The 21245-nt window shown below is 41.5% G+C and overlaps 1 protein-coding gene, 2 long non-coding RNA genes and 2 other non-coding genes across 9 annotated transcripts in view, besides 5 other annotated features; 2 read left to right on the top strand and 3 right to left on the bottom strand.

The window, feature by feature from the left end:
• ZNRF2 (zinc and ring finger 2) overlaps positions 1-19589 on the bottom strand; it is an 83093-nt gene extending 63504 nt beyond the window's left edge. For 3 of the 4 annotated variants that reach the window (XR_007059991.1, NM_147128.4, XM_047420048.1), the window contains exon 1: positions 18360-19589. Coding sequence is in view for 2 of the 4 variants with exons in the window: in NM_147128.4 (NP_667339.1) it covers positions 18360-18828 (469 nt within the window). In the remaining 2 variants the exon portion in view is untranslated. Of the gene's footprint in view, positions 1-15353; positions 15429-18359 lie in introns of all 4 variants that reach the window. The other variant, XR_926925.3, reaches the window with a different exon arrangement.
• Positions 14296-14392, bottom strand: MIR550A1 (microRNA 550a-1). The gene has a single exon (NR_030319.1). It is a non-coding gene; the product is annotated as a microRNA 550a-1 (primary transcript).
• Positions 14296-14392, top strand: MIR550B1 (microRNA 550b-1). The gene has a single exon (NR_037513.1). It is a non-coding gene; the product is annotated as a microRNA 550b-1 (primary transcript).
• LOC105375218 (uncharacterized) overlaps positions 18101-21245 on the top strand; it is a 38659-nt gene continuing 35514 nt past the window's right edge. The window contains exon 1 of the long non-coding RNA NR_136267.1: positions 18101-18126. This is a non-coding gene — a long non-coding RNA (uncharacterized LOC105375218). The remainder of the gene's footprint in view (positions 18127-21245) is intronic.
• Positions 18344-18473: a silencer, noted in NCBI's record as "silent region_18065". NCBI's record gives its function as "represses an Ori minimal core promoter by ATAC-STARR-seq in GM12878 lymphoblastoid cells {active_cell/tissue: GM12878}" and the evidence as "EXISTENCE:reporter gene assay evidence [ECO:0000049][PMID:35858748]".
• Positions 18624-18703: a silencer, noted in NCBI's record as "silent region_18064". NCBI's record gives its function as "represses an Ori minimal core promoter by ATAC-STARR-seq in GM12878 lymphoblastoid cells {active_cell/tissue: GM12878}" and the evidence as "EXISTENCE:reporter gene assay evidence [ECO:0000049][PMID:35858748]".
• Positions 18784-19173: a silencer, noted in NCBI's record as "silent region_18063". NCBI's record gives its function as "represses an Ori minimal core promoter by ATAC-STARR-seq in GM12878 lymphoblastoid cells {active_cell/tissue: GM12878}" and the evidence as "EXISTENCE:reporter gene assay evidence [ECO:0000049][PMID:35858748]".
• Positions 19254-19303: a silencer, noted in NCBI's record as "silent region_18062". NCBI's record gives its function as "represses an Ori minimal core promoter by ATAC-STARR-seq in GM12878 lymphoblastoid cells {active_cell/tissue: GM12878}" and the evidence as "EXISTENCE:reporter gene assay evidence [ECO:0000049][PMID:35858748]".
• Positions 19314-19743: a silencer, noted in NCBI's record as "silent region_18061". NCBI's record gives its function as "represses an Ori minimal core promoter by ATAC-STARR-seq in GM12878 lymphoblastoid cells {active_cell/tissue: GM12878}" and the evidence as "EXISTENCE:reporter gene assay evidence [ECO:0000049][PMID:35858748]".
• The window catches only part of LOC124901607 (uncharacterized), a 95727-nt gene continuing 94413 nt past the window's right edge, over positions 19932-21245 (bottom strand). For both annotated transcript variants that reach the window (XR_007060273.1, XR_007060274.1), the window contains exon 3: positions 19932-19987. This is a non-coding gene — a long non-coding RNA (uncharacterized LOC124901607). The remainder of the gene's footprint in view (positions 19988-21245) is intronic.

Genomic DNA, 21245 nt, shown 5'->3' with positions numbered 1-21245 from the left:
AGGAGAGGAGACTGGAAACCCAGAGAGATAAAGTGAACAGCAGCAGTTGGCTTTTGCCTTCAGCTAGGATACCCTCAAAGGGTTATGACTTCACTGCGAAGGTAAACTAATATTATTAGTAAGGAGAGTAAAATAATATTACTCTCCTTACCACCACTACCCAGGCAACTTTAAGTAAAATCTATTCAACAATGACACTGGGTGGGGAAGGGACAGAAAAATCACCAATGAGAATCTGGAACCACAAATAGAGTTCCTGCTGCTTTTACAGTCTGAATTTATAATTCCTAAGTGGTTTAAAACCACTAAGCTGTATTCCCACACTTTGGCAGGCATCAGAATCACCTGGAAGGTTTATTAGAACACAGATTGCTGGTACCCTTTCTGCCTCCAAGTTTTAAGTAAGTCTGGGGGAGGCCCAAAAATGTGTGTAACAAGTTCCCAGGAGATGCTGATGCTGCTGGTCTGGGACCAACTATAATGCTACAGTGGGTAATTCAGTTAATAAAGCACCCAGCCCATACTCTGTGATCAACACAATCATATCCTACTCTTAAAGATACCTTTTTCCAGTAGGAAAACACTAACATCACAGTTTATCATAGTCTATGAGCTTATACCTCAAGGCAAAATGGGACTTGGAAGACACAAAACAAAGGGTGAGTAGACATCAGCAACACCTGGAAACTTGTTAGAAATGCAAATTCTCATTCTTCACCCCAAAACTACTCAATCAGAAACTTGGAGTGGAGCCCAGCCCTCTGGGTGATTCTCAGGCCCACCAAAAGTTTGTTTGAGCCATAAAACATCTAAAAAATTAATGATTTTAAAAAGGGGTCAAATTACTATAAAATTAATTCGGGAGATACTGAATTAAAATGAGTTAACTAGTTTTCTTTTTCTTTTTCTTTTTTTTTTTTTTGAGACAGGATCTCATTTCCATCGCCCAAGCTGGAGTGCAGTGGTGTGAGCTGAAGCCAAGTTGAGTGATCCTCCCACCTCAGCCTCCTGATTAGCTGGGACTACAGGTGCGCACTACCACGCCCGGATAATTGTTTTCTATTTTTGGTAGAGACGGGGTTTTTCCATGTTGCCCAGGCTGGTTTCGAACTCCTGGGGTCAAGCTATCCACTCGCCTCAGCTTCCCAAAGTGTTAGGATTACAGGCATGAGCCACCACAACCAGCCTTAGACTTCTTTATTACAGAACTTTAATAGGTTACAAACTTGCTCCGTTACTGAAGTCTTCCTTCCAGGAGAATCTTATGAGACCAGTATTCTACAGGATAAACTTTCATTGATGCTGTCCAGAGTGCATTTTGCTCTGTGGGCCCTGACAGTTAACGGCACACACCTGGAGTCAGATAGACTGGAGTATGAATTTGAGCTCTGAAAGCATTAGTAGTGGTAGCATGGGAGAAGGAGCAATTAAAGAGTAGCAGTGATGATGATACCGCCACCAGTTCTTTTCTGTTTAAAAAATACATGTGTTACCATAGAAAATAAATGGCAATATACAAGAATAAAACAACAGCAATATTTCTACTAGTCCGAGATAACCAATTTTTAGTGTATGGATATTACCTTGTCTTTTTTATGTACATATATACACTAATTTGGTAACAAAATTACCAAAAAAAAAAAACATAGTACTTTAATTTATATCATAATCATTTGTTTCCAAGGCCCTGATGGATGGACACTAGAGACTATACATTTCTTAAAGACGGAGGTTTTTCTTCATCCTTCTGGTCATCTTCCTATGACCAGAAAGCCTCCCTAACCTATTGCAACATGCGCTGAATTATTTTTTGACTAAATGAATAAGTAAACAAAGAAAAATAAGATACAGAGACTATGCATGATATTAGAGAACATTTCCAGTTTCCTCTATGCTCAATTTTAAGCCAGCGAAAATACAAAAGAACATTTAAGCCATGTGCAGCTTGGGTTTACAGACCACTATCATATATTCACATATAGAATGAGGAGCACTTTTCTCTAGTCCTTGCTACATACAGTAATTTTTAAAAAGTAAGAGCTCTTTAAAATATTAAGTACATGGACACAGAGCAAAAGCAGGAATGTCAAAGGCATGCCAGACAATTTGGTCCTCAACAGACTTCAGTTTTCTGTGAAGTAAGCGTATCAGTGTTCTCAAATTCCTCTAGAGTTTCTGATTCCGAAAACTGCCTTGCGAACACCAGGGAGTGAAGCGGACAGAACTGGTTCACCACCCCTGTGGCAACAGTGAAGCAGCCTCCTTCCCTGAACAAGCAGCAGCATGCTCCTGTCCACGTCTCATCACAGTTCTTTTCAGTGCACTAGCCTACAAGAGGACCCTGCTCCAGGCTACTGACCTAATTGTCTGTTCTTATATTATACATTTAATTACCTTTTCGGAGATTGTTATAATGGGATTTTTGCCCGCTCTAGTATATTCAAATCTAAGACAAAGATAAGTTTTTTTTTTTTTTTTTTTTTTTAAAAAAAGCCTCATTATCCTGTAGTCCATTTTGGAAAGTAAAGCCCAAGAAAGCAAAAGATGAAGGTTCTAAAGCTAGTTTGACTGACCTCAGAGTACCATGCCCAGTGCCTCTTCCAAAAATATTTAATGTATCAAAAGTGAATGCAGCGAACCATGCCCCAGATTGCTTTTAGTAATTTAAGTCCCTTTTCTAGCTTTTATTTATTTATCTATTTTGAGACCCAGTCTCACTCTGTTGCCCAGGATGGAGTGCAGTGGCGTGATCTTGGCTCACTGCAACCTCCACCACCCGGGTTTAAGCGATTCTCCTGCCTCAGCCTCCCAAGTAGCTGGGATTACAGGTGTGTGCCACCACACCCAGCTGATTTTTATAATTTTAGTAGAGAAGGGGTTTCACCATGTTGGCCAGGCTGGTCCCGAGCTCCTGACCTCAAGTGATCCGCCCACCTCTGCCTCCCAAAGTGGTAGGATTACAGGCTTGAGCCACGGCACCTGGCCCCTTTCCTAGCTTTAAAAACACTCTCTTCCCATGGATACTAAAGGAATCCAGGATGAGGTTCTGTCATTCCAGTTGTTTTTCTCAATCCAGGCCACTTGATAAGAAAGGCTGTAAGAGCAGAGCAGCAGACTGCTCTCATCTTTGATAAATGCAGAGTCCTTATTTAAGACAGTACGGTCTGATTGTTGTAACAACTATAAGAACTCCCCAGGCTCCTCTTGCACAAGGCTGAAATTTTTTTAGCCCCAGCTGTAATTGTGGATTACAGTTAAATTGTTTGATTCATTTATACATCCTGGGCTTAAATATGAAAACAAAAAAGAAACATATAAGCAGAAAGAAAACTACATATATCTAGCCATTGTCTACCTAATATTTAAAGATTCAGCCTATAACAAAACATAATAAATTCCCAACTCACAATTTTCATTCAACCATTTCTCTGTATTCCTTGGACAGTGAAATTTCTCCCAAATTTGGAAACAATGATCCTAAAAATAAAGCTCTCTGAACGTTCTCCTTTTCCTGGGGATTTGGAATTTGCAAATGAATCAACCACTATATCCCACTTTGCTGTAGTGAATCCTATTTAAAACACTTAATATCATCCAAAAACTGCTAATCAGATAATGTAAAATTAAAGAATAGATAAAACAGGAAGTGTTAGATTCTAATTAAGTCTATCTTTTATTAGAGCTAACCACATACTCAGGCCTCACTTATCTATCATTAATTAAACATTTGGGGTATTCTGGCTGGGTGTGGTGGCTCATGCCTGCAATCCCAGCACTTTGGGAGGCCGAGGCGGGTGGATCACGAGGTCAAGAGACCAAGACCATCCTGGCCAACATGGTGAAACCCTGTCTCTACTAAACATACAGAAATTAGCCAGGCGTGGTGGCGTGCACCTGTTATCCCAGCTACTTGGGAGGCTGAGGCAAAAGAATTGCTTGAACCCACGAGACAGAGGTTGCAGTGAGCCAAGATTGTGCCACTGCACTCCAGCCTGACAAGAGAGTAAGACTCCGTCTCAAAAAAAAAAAAAAAAAAAGACTTGTATTCATGTTTTCCCATGAAAAAATCCTCTAAATATATGTTATGGAGAAAAAGCAGGTTTTACGGCCGGGATGGCTCACGCCTGTAATCCCTGCACTTTGGGAGGCCAAGGCGGGCACATCACGAGGTCAGGAGATCAAGACCATCCTGGCTAACACAGTGAAAACCCCGTCTCTATTAAAAATACACACAAAAAATTAGCCGGGTGTGGTGGCGGGCGCCTGTAGTCCCAGCTACTTGGGAGGCTGAGGCAGGAGAATGGCATGAACTTGGGAGGCAGAGCTCGTAGTGAGCCGAGACCATGCCACTGCACTCCAGCCTGGGCAACAGGGCGAGACTCTGTCTCCCAAAAAAAAAAAAAAAAAAAGCAGGTTTTAGAAGAACACAGTATGACCACATTCTTGCCAATAACAGCCTCCATCACAAAATCACATACAAAATGAAACTACTTTTTTCTATGTACTTAAAAGTATGTAAATGAATTAAAACAGAAGTATACGTATAAAAAATAACAGTTACATCTGGGAAGACAATGGGATCAGCAAAGGAAGACTGGAAGTGACTGTCATTTTATCTAACCTGATTTTTTGGGGTTGATTCCTATTTCTTTTGCAATTAAAAAAAGAGAACTTCCAATTAAAGAGGACTAATTGAACATGTTCATACCAGAGGACTGAAAGTGACTTTCACTTTTTTTGCATCATCTGATTTTTTTTTTTTTTTTGAGACATAGTTTCGCCCTTGTTGCCCAGGCTGGAGTGCCATGGCGCGATTTCAACTCACTGCAACCTCCGCCTCCCGGGTTCAAGCAATTCTCCTGCCTCAGCCTCCCGAGTCGCTGGGATTACAGGCATGCGTCACTACGCTCGGCTAATTTTTGTAGAGACAGTGTTTCACCATGTTAGTCCGGCTGGTCTCGAACTCCTGACCTCAGGTGATCCACCTGCCTCAGACTCCCAAAGTGCTGGGATTACAGGCGTGAGCCACCACGCCCAGGGGCATCATCCAAATTTTTATAGGAGTGAATTATTATTTCTTCTGCAATTAAAAAAAAACTAAGTAAAGATAACTAGTTGTACACATTCATTAGTTTCTGCTCAGTCCAAACATCCTACTAAAATGATAAAAATGTAATTTTTAAAGGGAATACACCTATAAAAAATCAAGAAGATGAAATAAAAAGCAGTACCTTTAGACTCTGGAAAGAAAATTAAAGAATAATAATTTTCACTGCAGAACTAGGAAAGCAGAGAAGCAAACTGATTTACAGCAGGCACAAGAACTGGCAAGCACAAGATATCCCTGGAAGCAGGGGTGAAGGCAGGCCTAAAAGAGAAAGATTCATCGCCAGTCTGCGTAAGGAGCTGTGAGATCTCCTAGTTGTCCTCCCTGACTTGCAGCAGCTAAGCAACCCCAACCCTGGCACTCTACTACAAGCTTGTTATTAGGAAAGGGAAAAGTTTCTAGACTTGCAGACAACAGGAATAGCTGAAGGCAGAGGTCCTGTATTGATACTAAATATTGAGATTAAATGAAAGTATCATTTTGAGTATTAAGACTCTCAATCTTCTTCTCACTCTGCTCCTAGATCACTAGCATAAACGATTGTGTATTCCAGGCAAGAAAAGCCATTTCTGGAAAATATGACCAGCCCAAGAGAAAAGACAGTAATATCCCTAAGAAAATGGCCCAGACAGAGGACACTACATGCACAGAGAGCTTCCAATTTGCTTTTTAGTGCCCCCCACTTTAAAAGTATCAGGAGTTAGCCAAAGATCACCAAACATTTAAAGAAAATATCTAACAAAAGAATGAAGCCAAACAAACAGAAAAAGCAAGTGGGAAGAAACCGAGTCATCAGGAAAGGGAACAAAGCATACACATACATATATATACATACACATACATATATACACAAACAGATGCACATGTAAATTCGTATCAGTAATATTCTTAGAAAAAGGTATTGTACCCACAAAACAAAAATGGAATATATGAAAAAAAACTATTTTTAAAGACCTCAGAAATTTTAAAAACATTAAAAATTAAGTTAAAAATTAAAATTACAGAAACAAATAAAAATTGACAAAAGAGTTATAAGATCACGTTTTTAAAAGTCCCTATGGTGGCATGCACCTGTGGTCCCAACTACTCAAGAGGCTGAGGCAGGAGGATCACTTGAGCCCAGGAGTTCAAGGCTGCAGTAAGCTAGGATCACACGACTACACTCCAACCTAGGTGACAGAGCCTCGAGACCTTGTCTTTAAATAAATAAATAAATCCCTCAAGAGAAAAAAAGAACAAAAACCAAAGACATACAAAAATTGAAGAGAAAAAAGAAAAAGCAAAGGATTACTCTAGGTGTACAACATCTAAGTCATCAAAGAAAAAAATGGCAAAAAAAAAAAATCACAGAAAGCAGCTGACTCAAAGAGCCTACCAAATATGCTGCACAATGAATGAAAACAGTTCCCTCCCAAGACATGTAATAATGAAATTTTCATACAAAGGATCAAAAACCATAATGACATCTATGTGCTCAACAGCAACACTAGAAGCCAGAAGGCAACAAGGCAACACATTTTAAATTCTCAGGGAAAATAACTTCAACCTAGAATTCTATATCAAGTCAAAGTACTAATCAAAAATGAGGGCAGAAATAAAATATTTTCAGGAATGGAAGCCTCAAAAAAATTTTACCTTACACATATTCTTTCTCAGTAGGAACTATGAAATTGTATCGGCTAAAAACAATGGAGAACATCAAGAAAGAAGACACATAAATTCAAGGAACCAGGAAACTGAACATAAGAGAGAGGCAGGCAAATACAATCTCCAAGATGATGAAAAAAGACAGATCTCATAGGATAATCAATTCGGAACAGGGTAGGTCAGAGGGTCTCAAAAGAGACTTTAACAAGAAAATGAAATTCAGGCAATACTCATCATATGAATAATCTGAGAGGAGATTTATACAAATGAGGGAGGGTTGTAAAACTAAACAATTTTTAAACTAACAAATTTTTAAAAGACAAAAGAGAAAACACAAAATTGTACAGGAAAAGAAAAGCAGCCAAGTGTGAAAAGGACTCTGAATTATTAAAAGCTAATTAGATTCTGTACACTTCACAACTAAAATACAGAATAACTCACACTTAAAATACTACAAGTGGTTGATCTAACTTCTAAGTCTCATCTCCAGATAACAGCTAAAGAAATTATCTACTCTACCACCGACTTCTTATGACATAGGCTCAAAAGAGACAGTGCTTATGAAGTAACTTTCCTAACACATACATTACTATATGAAAGTAACTATATTAGTTCAACATTTATAAAGACACTTAAAGTGGCCAATAATAATATTAAATATTCTTAATTTTAGTTATTTTGTTTTAAAGAAACTAATGGCAATCCTCCAAAGAACTCTGCGTACGGTAAGGTGGTAGGAAGAGTGGACAAAAGGAGTTATTAAGGAACTGAGATTTCAAGGTGACCAGATATGCTGTTTTTGAAGAAGTGCTATGATAGACAGGAAATCTGGAGAATTACAAATCAAGACTTCAGGGCTCTCAGACTGAAGGGTGTTGAAGCACCAGCAAAGCAGTGAATTGCTTTAGTAAATGCCAAGTCATCCAGGTTGCCTGAGATGTAGTAAATCATGTAACTAAAATAATCTAAGTTTTTCAGCCTCTGCCCTGAAGCAGCAGCACACACTTAATGAAAACACTGACCTACCTTATCAACCATCCTTCCAACCATCTCCAACCGCCCACAAAACACGCTCACATTGATAACACTTTGTAACACATTCAAATGATTATAAAAGAGCTATAAGCACAGTATAATTTTACTTCTAAGGCAATTTTATAACTGCCTCCATTTGTACAATCTATATTATACCTATTTGGTTCAAAAATTAATTTACCTATATTTACATTATACAAATAAAAACATAACCTACCACTTCTTTCTAGAGCAATACATTTCTATATATAATTTAAACATGACAATAATTTTGATAATAATCTTACCTTAAAACATAATAATGTAGTTATCAAATACATTTTGGGAAACATTCAATATTTACAAAGTTTTTACCATGTGTTTGGCATAGTAAATGTGCTGAAAAACTCAATTCAAATGTTCAGGGGAGAATTTTGTAAATATAAGGAAGACACATTATAAAAATAATGAAAACTGGATTGTTTTTGCAAAATCTGAGCAGTTGGGAAGAGAAAGGAATACGGTATCAGAGTAAAGCACATGGTCTTTCTGAGGAGGGTGAGACTGGAAGTGCGGCATAAATCTTGGATGTTTCAATTTTTTCATTCATTGAAGAGGTTCATTCAATAGTTAAAAGTACGGAGATATGAAGTATGTGGACTACTTTAACCCTCACAATACTACAAAAGCAGGTTTTTGTTTTGTTTTGAGACAGAGTCTCATTCCATCACCCAGGCTGGAGTGCAGTGGTGCAATCCTGGCTCACTGCAACTTCAGCCTCCTGGGTTCAAGCGATCCTCCTGCTTCAGCCTCTGGAGTAGCTGGGACTACAGGCACGCACCACCACACCTGGCTAATTTTTGTATTTTTGGTAGAACCTGGGTTTCACCATGTTGCCCAGGCTGGCCTCGAACTCCCGAGCTCAAGCGATCGCCCCCGTCCGTCTCCCAGAGTTCTGGGGGTTACAGGTGCAAGCCACTGTACCTGGCCTGATTCTAGAGATGAGAAAACGGAGGTACAGAGGAACTAAGCAACTTGCTTAAGGTCAGCCCAAGAAACATGACTTGAAGACTTAAACTCTTCCCCATAATAACAGAATACAGCCTGGACATAAAGTGCATCCCATCTCTGCTTTTGTAATTTATGGACAGATGCGGAACTCAAACTGAGCTAATCTGAGTCCTTTCTGCTGGAGGTAGAGAAAGGTACTCCCTTCAGGCCTGAAAGATCGCATGTAGTTGGAAGTACAGAGAGTCTCAAGGCCCCAGCTTAAAGAAGGCCCATACTGCCTGGGGGCAGTGGCTGACACCTGCAATCACACACACACACACACACACACACACACACACACACACACACACACACACTCTCTCTCTCTCTCTCTCTCTCTCTCTCTCTCTCTCCTTCCCTCCCTCTCTCTCTCTGTCCCCCTCCCTCTCTCTCTAAATTTCAGCTCCAGGGGCATTGGGTCCTGCCTTTGTTCCTTCAATTCTCTAAGTTACCCTAGGATCCTTTTCAATAATTTGAAACAATATACAGTTTTTCCACTTAATGCTATTTTGAGTTATGCTTCTATCCTTTACAACTGAAAGGCTTAAGATTCTCTGACCATGGTGCAATACTTTTTTTTTCTGAGATGGAGTCTTGCTCTGTCACCCAGGCTGGAGTACAGTGGTGTGATCTCGGCTCACTGCAACCTTCACCTCCCAGGTTCAAGCAATTCTCCTGCCTCAGCACCCCCTAGTAAGCTGGGATTACGGGCACCTGCCACCATGCCCGGCTGATTTTTGTATTTTTAGTAGAGATGGGGTTTCACCATGTTGTCCAGGCTGGTCTCGAACTCCTGACCTCAGATGATCCACCCACCTGGGCCTCCCAAAGTGCTAGGATTACAGGCATGAGCCACAGTGCCCAGCCACGGTGCAATATTTCTAAATTAACACTAGAAGTAACGAAAGGGTACTAGTAAGGACCACCACAATAAAGCCACACTTTAAAATAACTTCCAAGTAAAAGAAAATATCGAAATGCAGTTAACATGATTATTCCCCGATAGAACTGATTTTAAAAGAAACAAAAATGTGTACTCAATGATAATGAAAATGGTAAGTATCCAAAGCTTTGGGAAGTGACTATATGTAACAAGAAGTAAACACAGCCTTAAACGCTTTTATCATTAAAAAATAATAAATAAAAAATAAAAGAAGCTAAGAGAAAGAACAAAATTAACTTTACAAAATGAGAACGAACAGAATAGAGGTAACAGTAGAAAAAATTAAAAACCAACAAAAATAGCAAAATGTGTTGTTCAAACTGAGCACTGGCTCTCTGAAACATATTACACATAATCCTGCCTGGGCAATATAGCGAGACCCTGTTCTCCACAAAAAGGAAAGAAAAAAAAGACAATAAAAATAAAAATAAATAACCCATTATGTATGCATGGCTTCATTCTTCTTTTTTTCCTCAGCTCACATATAAATAGGTAAATTAAAGAACTATTACAGACTAATCACAATTCAAGCAAAAATTAGGATATTCCACATGGTCGGAACTTATGAAATTCAAATGACTGAATACATCTATAATTTTCTGACACACTAATATTTTCGTCGCTAAAAAAAGAGCCCTGAATGAAATAATGACTCTGATAGGTGACATTACTCGAAATATATCCACCAATCTGCACTTATAAATATCAAAAACCTCACAAGTTTTTATGGGTTAAAAAATTTTACGTAGTCCCAAAGATTATACCTTGCTAGAAGCTGTTTCCATCTCTAATGAGCAATTTGGCAATAAAGATCCAATGCCTTGAACAAAAGTGTATCTTTGTTTCTGGCAATCCCATGTCGCTGATAAATTTCTAAGAACTGGCCGGGCACTCAGGCCTGTAATCCCAGCACTTTGGGAGGCTGAGGTGGGCGAATCACTTGAGGCCAAGAGCTCAAGACTAGCCTGGCCAACATGGCAAAACCCAGTCTCTACTAAAAATACAAAAATTAGTGAGGCATGGTGGTGCACACCTGTAATCCCAGCTACTTGGGAGGCTGGGGCACAAGAATCACTTGAACCTGGGAGGCAGAGGTTGCAGTGAGCCAAGATCGCACTACTGCACTGTAGCCTGGGTGACAGAGCAAGACTCCATCCCAAAAAAAAAAAAAAAAAATGTAAAAATTTGCTTACCAGGGTGTTCATGGCAACAGTATTTTATTACATCTGTACCAAACAAACAAAATGCTCAACCATAAGGAACAACGAAATAAATCCTTGACTCTTCATTTTCTCTCATACCTCCACATCTAATCCAGGTGGCTCTATCTTCAAAACACGGGATATGCAGAATCTGGCCACTGCTTAGCACCTCCAGCACTGCCACCCAGTCCAAGCCACTGTTATCTTTCATCTGGATTTTTGCCTCCTTGCTGACTCTTGCCACCTCACACAATAGCCAGAGTAATCCTTTAAAACCCAAGTCAGATTATGTCAATCCTCTGCACAAAAATACTCCCCATCCCTCTTTAAAACAAAAGCCGCAAACCACAGGTCAGTGGTTATGAGGCAGTTTATGATTCTGTCCCAACCTCATGCCACCCCACTATGCTCTCATCTTCTACAGCCCTCTGCACTCCAGCTGTAAGTAAACCTACATATCAGGTACACTCATGCCTCAGGGCCTTTATAGTTACTGCTCCCTGTGCCTGAATATGTTTTTACCCCAGAGATCCTCATGACTTGCTCCTTCACTTTCTGCTTGAATTGTCACCTTGTCAGTGAGGTCATCCTTAAAACCCGATTTAAAATAGCAACTATAGATAGGCCTCCACCCCAGAATCTCTATCAGCCTTTGCACTCCATTTTTTTTCCATTACACTCAATGCCCTAACACACTATGTATTTTACTTGTCTGTTTACTATCTCTCCCAAATAGAATAATAAGGCCCCTAAAAGCAGGGATTTTTATCTTATTTCTTCACTGCTGTACCCCCAGAATAGTGTCCGGAAAAGCGCGTCCTCATTAAATATTTGAGTGATTTTTGGAATACTGGGTAATAATTAAAAATCATGTTATAAAAAATTTTAATGTGATGTTAGAAACTGGTGGAAATGGAAACAGCATGTTATCAAAGAATATGTAACCCATGGATCAAGAAGAAATCATATGGGAAATTAAAATACATTTTTCACTGAATGTTAACAAGAACACTTCAACATCAGTGGGATTCAGGTAAAGCAATTCTTGGAGGAAAATGTGTAGCTTTAAAACTTTGTATTAGAACATCAGAAAGGTTAAAATCAAAACAATATAAAAATGAATGTTCCAAATTTTGTGTCTAAAACAAATACATATATAAAAGACATTAACAGTTATTTCTGGTGGTAAAATTACAAGCAATTTGCGATTTTTATACCTGCTTTTCCGTATGTTAGTTTTTCTCTAGTGAACAGGTATTATTTTTATAATTAAAAAAAAACCCAGGTTTTTAAAAAACTTCCTTTCCCTCTGGTTGAATTCTAACTGCTGGCCTCTTCCTCTCCCTGTCTCTTAAAATACTTGCTCCTCTGGATTCCATCCTTGTCCTTCGTCAATCTATATTCATCCCTTAGTAATCTTATCCACTTTCTGGATTCATTTATAACTTGCAAATTGATTTCTCAGTTTTTTGTAATATCCTGAATTAGAGACTCATGTTTCCAACCACTTAAAGTATACTTCTATCCAGATGAAAATCCTGTAGCCACTCAAATTTAACAGGCCTGAAAGGAACTCATTATCATTTCCTAAAACTTGTTCTTTTCATCTTTAATACTGGTTAAAGACATCACTATGTACCCAGGTCAATTCTATCAGTTCTAGCTTAGAAATCTCAATCAAATCTAACTTTTCTTCTCCCTCACCAATGCCATGTTTTCAACATAGGCATCTTCTATCAGTTATATTTTAAAAGAATCCTAACTTATTCTCCTGCTATCACACTCTCCTCCTTAAGAACTGAATCCTGATCAGGGTTGCTGCATACAGCCTGAAGTCTGCACCACTAGAGAAGGTTGCCATCCATGTAAACTACGAGTGTTAATTGTGCCCAATGGCCTAATCATGATACTCCCCCTGCTTTCAAACTTCATTAGATAAAACAAACCTACAGCACTATAAAATCTTTCAACTGGCTCCACTTTCTATTTTTCTAGCTTCAGGTTCTCATCATTCCTCTATGCACCCTACAATCCAGACATATTTAACTTTTCAGTATGCCCTATCAAAACCCACACTTTTGTGGATTTTTCTTTAGTCTGTACTGCCCTCTCTCCGTACAACTTCTAAATCCTTCAAACTACAGTTCAAACGTACCCTCCTCTGTGAAGCATTTTTTGACCAGCCTAGACAAAGATACTTCACTAAGTGTTTTGTTAACAGTTCTATTACAGAATTTGTTGCATTGTATAATGATCACATATATCCATCTCTCAAATTCAATGGAGAGTTGAGCAGTGCATAAAGAAGCTCCATATTTGTACCCTCAGTATCTATAATGTCCAGCCCCTAAAAGGGGTTAAGTTCATGTTTATTAATGCTATACTTAACCATATGCATTAGTACAACTTTTTAAAAGTAAATTAAAATGAGTTTAAAAAAGAAGTTACATGTTCAGCTGTCAATCTATCTATAATCCATGTGGCAGAAAGAACTGATGTGACTATTCTTGATTCCTACACTTCCTGGTGTTTAAACCTTTGTATAATTCCCTCCCCTTGCACGTGAACTGGACCTATGACTTGCTTCTAATGAATGAAATACAGCAAAGGCAATGGGTTGTATGTGATTACATGTACACGATTATGTAAGAACATAGCACCAGTTCACCTTTCCTTTGCTTACTTTGAAGAAGCAAGCTGCTCTGAACCTAACAGACACAAGGAAATAAATTCAGCCAATAACCCAAGGAAGTCTGTGGGCAGACCTTTCCCCAGTTGAGTCACTAGATAACAACCCTGCCCTGACCTACACTTTGACTGCAGTCTTAAAGAGGACACAGCTAAGTTGTGCCCAGCCTCTTGACCCACAGAAATTGCAAGGCAATAAACGTGTTGCTTAGAACCACTAAATTTGCAGTCATTTGTGAATAAGCAGCTTAGAAAACGAATAAAATCAGAACCTAAGGTATTTCTGAACCCTTTGTTCACAAAAAGGCCTATGTTTTGTCCAATTTCTTAACAAATAAATGTCATGTACATGCAAAATTAAAACACAGACTAACATTTCAAATAACAGTTCTTAAGAATATTCACATAAAACTTAGGAAGTAATTTGCTACATAAAGCAGTTCCTACACTCTCTTTTAACACATTTGCCAATATACCCAATTATACATAATACTACATGTAATAAGTTTAATATTAGGGCAATTCTCCTTAAAACCCAAATAATAATAAATAGTTTAAAAGTTGATATCTCATTAATGATATTTGGTAATCAGAAGAACTTAGTTACTGGTCACCAGGCAAAGCGATCAAATTGGAGGAGAGCAAGAGACTTGTTGGAGATGTGCCTGAGGGAGTAAGACACTATCTTACAACAACAGGGCTCTTACTCCCTCAGGCACTGCACCAGCCAGCAAAGCATCAAAATACCAGGTTCTTAGGTCACGCTGCTCTCAGATCAGGTGATGCCCTGTGCAACTCACCAATCCTCCCCACCTTGCAGTCAAGAATAATTCCAAAAAATTCCCAAAGCAGAAACTTCCATGACACAGGCCACACTTACACACAGCAAAACATGTAACACGAAGGTATGAAATTACAAGTGAGGAACAATAACCACCAAAATTCTTATTACTTCAGGAGTGGCAGGGGTTGTGGTTAGAAGGCTCATTTTTCTTAGAAAGAGGCAAACATTCCTCTTCGGCCACTCCCCATAAAAGCCTTCAATGGCACAAAATAACATTCAGGAATAGGAAATAGATTAATTACAATATCCCAAATTCAAACATTTTGGCACTTGATATTGGTAAGAAGTGATAACTGAGACCGATTCCATAATGGTTAATTGATGAAGATAACCTAACACCATAAAACTTCACATCTGCCTTAAAAATTAAGAGAAATCTTCCTAGAAATACAGGTCTTATTCAACATATTCAGTTTTAAGAGATAACCCACACTCCTTCAATATAAGAAAACATGTTTCACAAGTAGCAAGGCACCTGAGTTACAATCAGACTACTGAAATACTCATGAGCAAGCCACACCCAAAAAAGCTCAAGAAAATCAGGAGGCCAAAAGCAACCCAGCACCACTGGTTGTCTTAGATTAAGTCATTTTACATTTTCACTTCTGGACTCAAGGATACATTATAGAAGTCCACACGATTTCTCTGGAAATAATCTCCATGTATTGGTATATTTCTATAGCCCAATTCATCTACCCCATCCTTGCTGCATCATTAAAGGCTATTTGACCACTCATATTATGCTCTTATGAACAACAGCTACTTGACAGTGGAAAAAAAAACGTAGACGTAAATTAAAGCCAAACAAACCCTAAAATACCATCAACATTTTTAAATATTAGGAAATACCCTTAAGACCTGTTTTAAAACAAAGGTGATGGACGACACTAGCAGTAGTCAAGAAAGCGTCTGTTCACTTTAACACTCCTCAGTCTGAAAAGAATAATAAGGACAAGATTTACTTCACCTAAAAACTCCTATATAAATATAATCACATTCTGATGTCTGGCAACTCAATTCTAGGAAATTTCTACACACTGAAATATCTGGATTAGGCATTTTTCTTCCAGTTCTCTAGAGAGAATAAGAGTGTATATAGCCAAAACAGATGTCCAAATGACATCAAAACATAAAACCAACACAGAAAACTTCCTCGTTCAATGTGGCAATTCATTATGAGAGAACTACTAACAATTCCACTTGCTAGACTCTTAAGTGTTAAAAATAAAAGGGGGGGACTGTTTTTCATTTTCTATAAATTACATGAGAGCTCACAAGAGAATAATTTTGAATCTTATTAGTACCACATTTTCTTATTAGGAGACGTTAATAATATAAACAACAATTAAAACAACAGTTTTACAAAAAACAATACGAACTTTCCACTAATTCTGAAATAATCCTTTTATCAATTTTCAGATGCAGTTATTTGTATATAACCATTTATACAATTTGTAACTGAATAAACACAATAATGTTATAATAGATACTAAAAAGTTAAGTAAATGTGAACTAGTCAAGTCTTTTTTAATTATAAGATTCTTCATTTAGCTCCCTAAATCTCAAGATGATGAGAAACATGCTTCTATTGTTTTCCTAATAACCCGTCCACTAAAATATAGGTAAAAATCTCAGTAAGGCAATGCCACTAAGATGGGTTTTTACGTAAATGTATTCCATCTCCCTGCCTCAACAGAGATTTCAGGATGTGGCACTTTCATCTGATCCTGTCATATAATAAGAACAGGTAATTTCTCTGATGTCTTTCCAGCAATTCTCAACTGAGGTTCCTCATCTGAATCACCAAACACAGGAAATTATTTCAGTGACTTTTCTCAATTGTTCCAAGAATGATACATAACTAAAACCGTTCTAAATGCACTGGAGCTAAAAGTTAAAATTCATTGCACACTACGGCACAATTGTCTCCAGAAAGCCGGGTGAGAAAGGCTGCTGTAAGTTCCTCAGAAAGTGTCACTGTACTACTAGGCCCCAGTCACCCAACCCCAACAGCACTAAAAGAACTATAATGAGTGCACAAATCTAGAACTTAGATAAGAAAAAAGATAAATGCTTTATCTCCAACTTTAAGCAACTAGGTATTTTTACTTACTAGGAATAGCATGGGGCTCAACTGTCTCTTGCTCTGAATAGAATGCATTTACTTAACAAAATAAACCCACAGAACTATAATGTTTCTCAAAGGGAATTATCAGCTCTTAGAAAATGAATTTTTAGAAATCAGCATATTAAATAAATATTAACTATTAACTTGACAAGGCTTTTCCTATTCACCCTTCTTTAGCAAACTTAAATATTCATCTTCTAATAATTGCTAAATGCAAATTTTCACTTTAAAAAGATAATGATAAACATTAAAAACCAGTTTGCCCTTCATTCTCGCACTAATCACCAATTCTCAGAAACTGCCTTTTATATTCTTCAGTGCGGACTACAGCAACTTCAACTGTTAGGTTAGTTGTGATCAAATCACTTTAAGGACACCAGTAGAGTTCTTTTACTCAAAATCAAAAGCAAATGACTTTTAAAAATAGCCCAATTTTAAGAGGGATGAATATTTTTAAGAAGCAAAAATTACTTTAAAACAAGGTAGCTAATTAAAAGTCAAGCGTCGTTCCAATTGAATTTGCAAAGCGTTACTAAAAAAATGGGAAAAATGAAACATGACATTCCTGTTTTTAATTTATGCTGGCGTGTGTGCTGATAGTACAGAACATGAGAACGGATAAATTACTACGTATTCCACTTTACTAAGTCTCCAAAGTTCCTACGTTTACAAATATATAAGTAAAAGCGGCACAAAAATGTAGGGGATCGTGTTTTCGCTGCTCATCTGTGCTCAGTTGCTAATTTTTCTAATACCAGATACATAATGCGATGAAATGGGAATGCTTATCTTCTATACTTCTATTTATTTTCATAAAGGGGAGAGGGGAGGTGGTCTTGATTCATTTACTATTAGCGTTTTGCAATAAAGTAGATCAGCATAAAACATAACTGAAGAAGTAGGATTCATTTTCCCCAGGACAACGCACACTTCCTCCTGTTTCTGTAGTAAAGTACATCACTTTGCTATTAAAAATGTCCATTTTTCACAACTGACTTTTCCTTAACTCTAGTCAACACTGCTCTTCAAAAGAACCTAGCCAATTATTGTACCTTGAAGACAGATGTGCAAAATTTTTACTTCCTTAAGAAACTTTTCCATTTTTTAAATGCTTTCCAAATTAAGCAGGACTCACATTAACTGTGATCTTAAGTAGCAGTTTAGTGAGGTTTAAAAACAAACTTTTCATTAACGCATTCATCCAATTAAAATGACATAGTAACTGGGACTACTGACACAGATTTCAGGATTACAGCTTTATACTAAAAGTCGGTCCAAACATGGTAACTCAGTGTTCATTTGAGACGCTTTGACTTTTGGCCTTTAAAAACTGTTCCCCACTCGAGTCCCCAGATAGAACTACATTTAGCAACTGGTCTCCTCCTGACTTCCTGGTACTAAAAACCACAACCACAAGGGCTGTTTCGTCGGTTTGTTGTAAAACAACATTTGCTCCAGTCATCTCACTGGAAAATAGACTTTCTCTACTGGGCAGCCGCTGAGGTGAGGGTGCTCAGGATGTTTAAAAACAAAACCACGCGTCTATGCGGTAGCGGCACCGCCGGTGTTAAGCGCCGGGTTTCTTCCAGGATGGAGACCGACGCGGGCTGGTCCGGGAGGCAGCCCCCGGCGCCCCGGCAGAAGGAGAAAAGGAGAAGGGTAAAAATAGCCGGCGGCCACGGCCCACGTGCAGCCGCGGGAGGACCGAGCGCGGGTGCGCGGAGAGGGGTCCGTACCTCCAAACATGTGCGGCGAGAGGTGAGCTGGTAAGGAGCCGATCACCAGGCGCGGCCCGCCGGGGCTCCCGCCCACCGGCCGGTCCCGGCCGCCGCCGCCGTCCTCAGGGCTGCTGTGCACCGAGTCCTGCGAGCCGTACGGGCCGCTGCTGCTGTTCGGGATGCTGAAGGGGGACTGCGCCGCGCGGGCCCCCGACGCCACGCTCCCCACGGCCCCGCCGAGGGAGCGGCTGCGCGGGGCCGCCGGGGCTGCCGGGGCCGCCGCGGCCGCCGCGGCGCCGCCGGAGGCGCTGGGCTGGTGCGCGCTGGGCACCTGAGCCGGGAACCTCCCCGCGGCGGCGGCCCGAGCGCCCCCGCCGCCGCCCGCGGTCCCATTGGCGCCTCCGCTGCTACTGGAAGGTAGATCCGAGCCCGAGTACGCGCGCGTGCGGCCGTTAGCGGCGGCCGGGCCGCTCTGTTTGGCGCCCATGTCCGCCCTGCCCCGGGCCGGGCCCGCGCGCTGCGCCCCGAGAGCCGGGAGGGCGGGAGCGAGCGCGGGAGCTAGAGGGCAGGGCCCAGGCGCCGCGGCCGGCCCAGAGAGGCCCCCGCACGTCCAGGGCCGCCGCCCGGCGTCCAGAGGGGCAGTCGGCGCCCGGCGCGCTCTTCTTGGGGCGGCGGGCGAGGCCGACGGCCTGACGCGGGCGCGGGAGACGAGGAGACGCGGAGAGGAAGGGGTCCCGGCTGCAGGCACCCCTCGCTGGCTCCAGCAGGAAGGGGCGGCTCAAGTGGCCGTGCGGCTGCCGCTGGTTTCGGTTCTGGTGCGCCACGACGGGCCGCTACCGCTCTCTGCTGCCGCGCTCGGCGCCCCCGATCTCGGCACCGCCTCCTCTCGGGCGGCCGCTGCTACCGCCGCCATCCTCCGGCTCCCACGGCGGCTGGCGGCTGAGTGGGAGGCGCCCGCCCAGACTCCGCCGGGGCCACCTTCCCTCCTCCCCCAGCCACCCAGCTGTTATTAACGGAGAAAGAGGAAAAACGGGTGGCGCGCGAGGGGAGAACGAAAAATGGGAGGGAGAGGTGGCGCGCGCTTCCCGGCAACCGTCGCCTCGCTCCCCCTGCGAAGGAGGGGCCGGGCTGGCGGGAGGATCTGGGCCGCGAAGGCGGGGGGTGCGCAGATGGGGAGGAGGTTCCCCGGCCCCGCGCCGGAAGGCCGCGGAGCGGCGCGGCTGCAGGGTGCGCCCGGCCCGTGTGTTTGGGTCGCGCGCGTTGACCCCGCCCCCGCCCCCTCGTGCCGCCAGGCCGATTGGCTCCCGCCGGCCTTGCTCCGCCTCCCCCTTCCGCGACCTGCCTGCCCCTGCTCCGCCTCGCCAAGGTACTGCGGTGTGGTAGGTGCTGCCACTCGTGGACTCGGTGATGGACAGGTCTCTGGCCACGCCCTCCCAGCCAGGGCGCGCCCTTGTCTTCCTCGCGGGGCCTACGCCGATAGGAGGAACGGACACCGGGCGCCAACCAGAAGGCGGCCCCTCCTCCCGCACGTGGCCCGCCGACGCTGTAGGAGCCTGTGTCAGCTGCAGCTTTTCCTGGCAGGGGGCGTGAATGGCTGTGTCCTCTGCCCAGAGCCGTTTGGTTTCGGTGGGTGTTGGTGTTACACACTGATTAAAAAAAAAAACAGAAGCTCAAAAGCCAGCTTGATCTCAGACTTACTCATGAAACACCAACCTGGGAGGAAGCGCAGAGTTGGAAGAACTCGGGATAATCCAGGTTGACCCTCTGTGGTAGGGCAAATACTGTGGTGCCAGGAACGCTGCACCTGACTCACAAAACCTAGAATCTAGGCCCAACACCAAACTAAATTATCTGTAGTGAGCAAATTATTTTACTTTTTTGGACTTTAGGTTTATTTTTGTTTTTGTTTTTGAGACGGAGTCTCGCTCAGTCACCCAGGCTGGAGTGCAATGGTGTGATCTCGGCTCACTGCAACCTCCGCCTCCCGAGTTCGAGCGATTCTCCTGCCTCATCCTCCAGAGTAGCTGGGATTACAGGCACGTGCCACCACGCCTGGCTAATTTTTGTATTTTTAGTAGAGACGGTCTTTCACCATGTTGGCCAGGCTAGTCTTGAACTCCTGTCCTCAAGTGATCCACCTGCCTCGGCCTTCCAAAGTGCTGGGATTACAGGCGTGACGTACCGCACCAGGCCGACTTTAGGTTTCTTACCTGAACTGTTTGTGTTAAATCCTAGGGCACCTGCCTCTTTAAAATCCTATAACTTCTCTAAAATGTAATAAAATTCTCCTCAGTGCCTTCCTCAGTGTTGGTGTGGTCTCTTCACGGCAGAGCAGGGTCTGGATACCCAGGGAACAGCCTGCTCTGAGACTCCCATTATGAAAATGTCTAGTCTCTACTTGAAAATAATAATAGCAAGTGGTGTTTTATAAAACTACAGAAATACTTTGTCATCTTTTCACTATTTGCAATAAGTCATTTATGTAATGATTTTCATCACTCTTAGGGTATGGGAATCAAGTTTTTAAACAAATGGAGAATATATGTATACATATAAAGACGTGTATCTGTGTACACAAACACACATATATACATGGAAAAACAAAGGTACCCAGTGCTTTATATGCAGTATCATGTTAAGATATGGTCATCATTTTGGTTAAGTGCCCTCTCCTTATAGATGTTTCCTGCCACCTCCTCCCCCATCCCAGCATCACAGACTGACTTCAGTGTTCCCACTCAGTGCTGTACAATACCTCCTTCATAGCTCTGATCATGTTATTATTATTATTAGATATCTTGCTTGTCACTACTCAATTGGCTCCATGATAAACTTCATGTCTGTACCTCCAGTGTTTAACACAGTGTCTGGTCTTGCCATGGTGCAATAAATGTTTTGTGAATG

Source organism: Homo sapiens, chromosome 7 (assembly GCF_000001405.40).
Source record: "Homo sapiens chromosome 7, GRCh38.p14 Primary Assembly".
Taxonomy (NCBI): Eukaryota; Metazoa; Chordata; class Mammalia; order Primates; family Hominidae; genus Homo; species Homo sapiens.
This window is presented reverse-complemented; position numbering and strand designations above follow the sequence as displayed.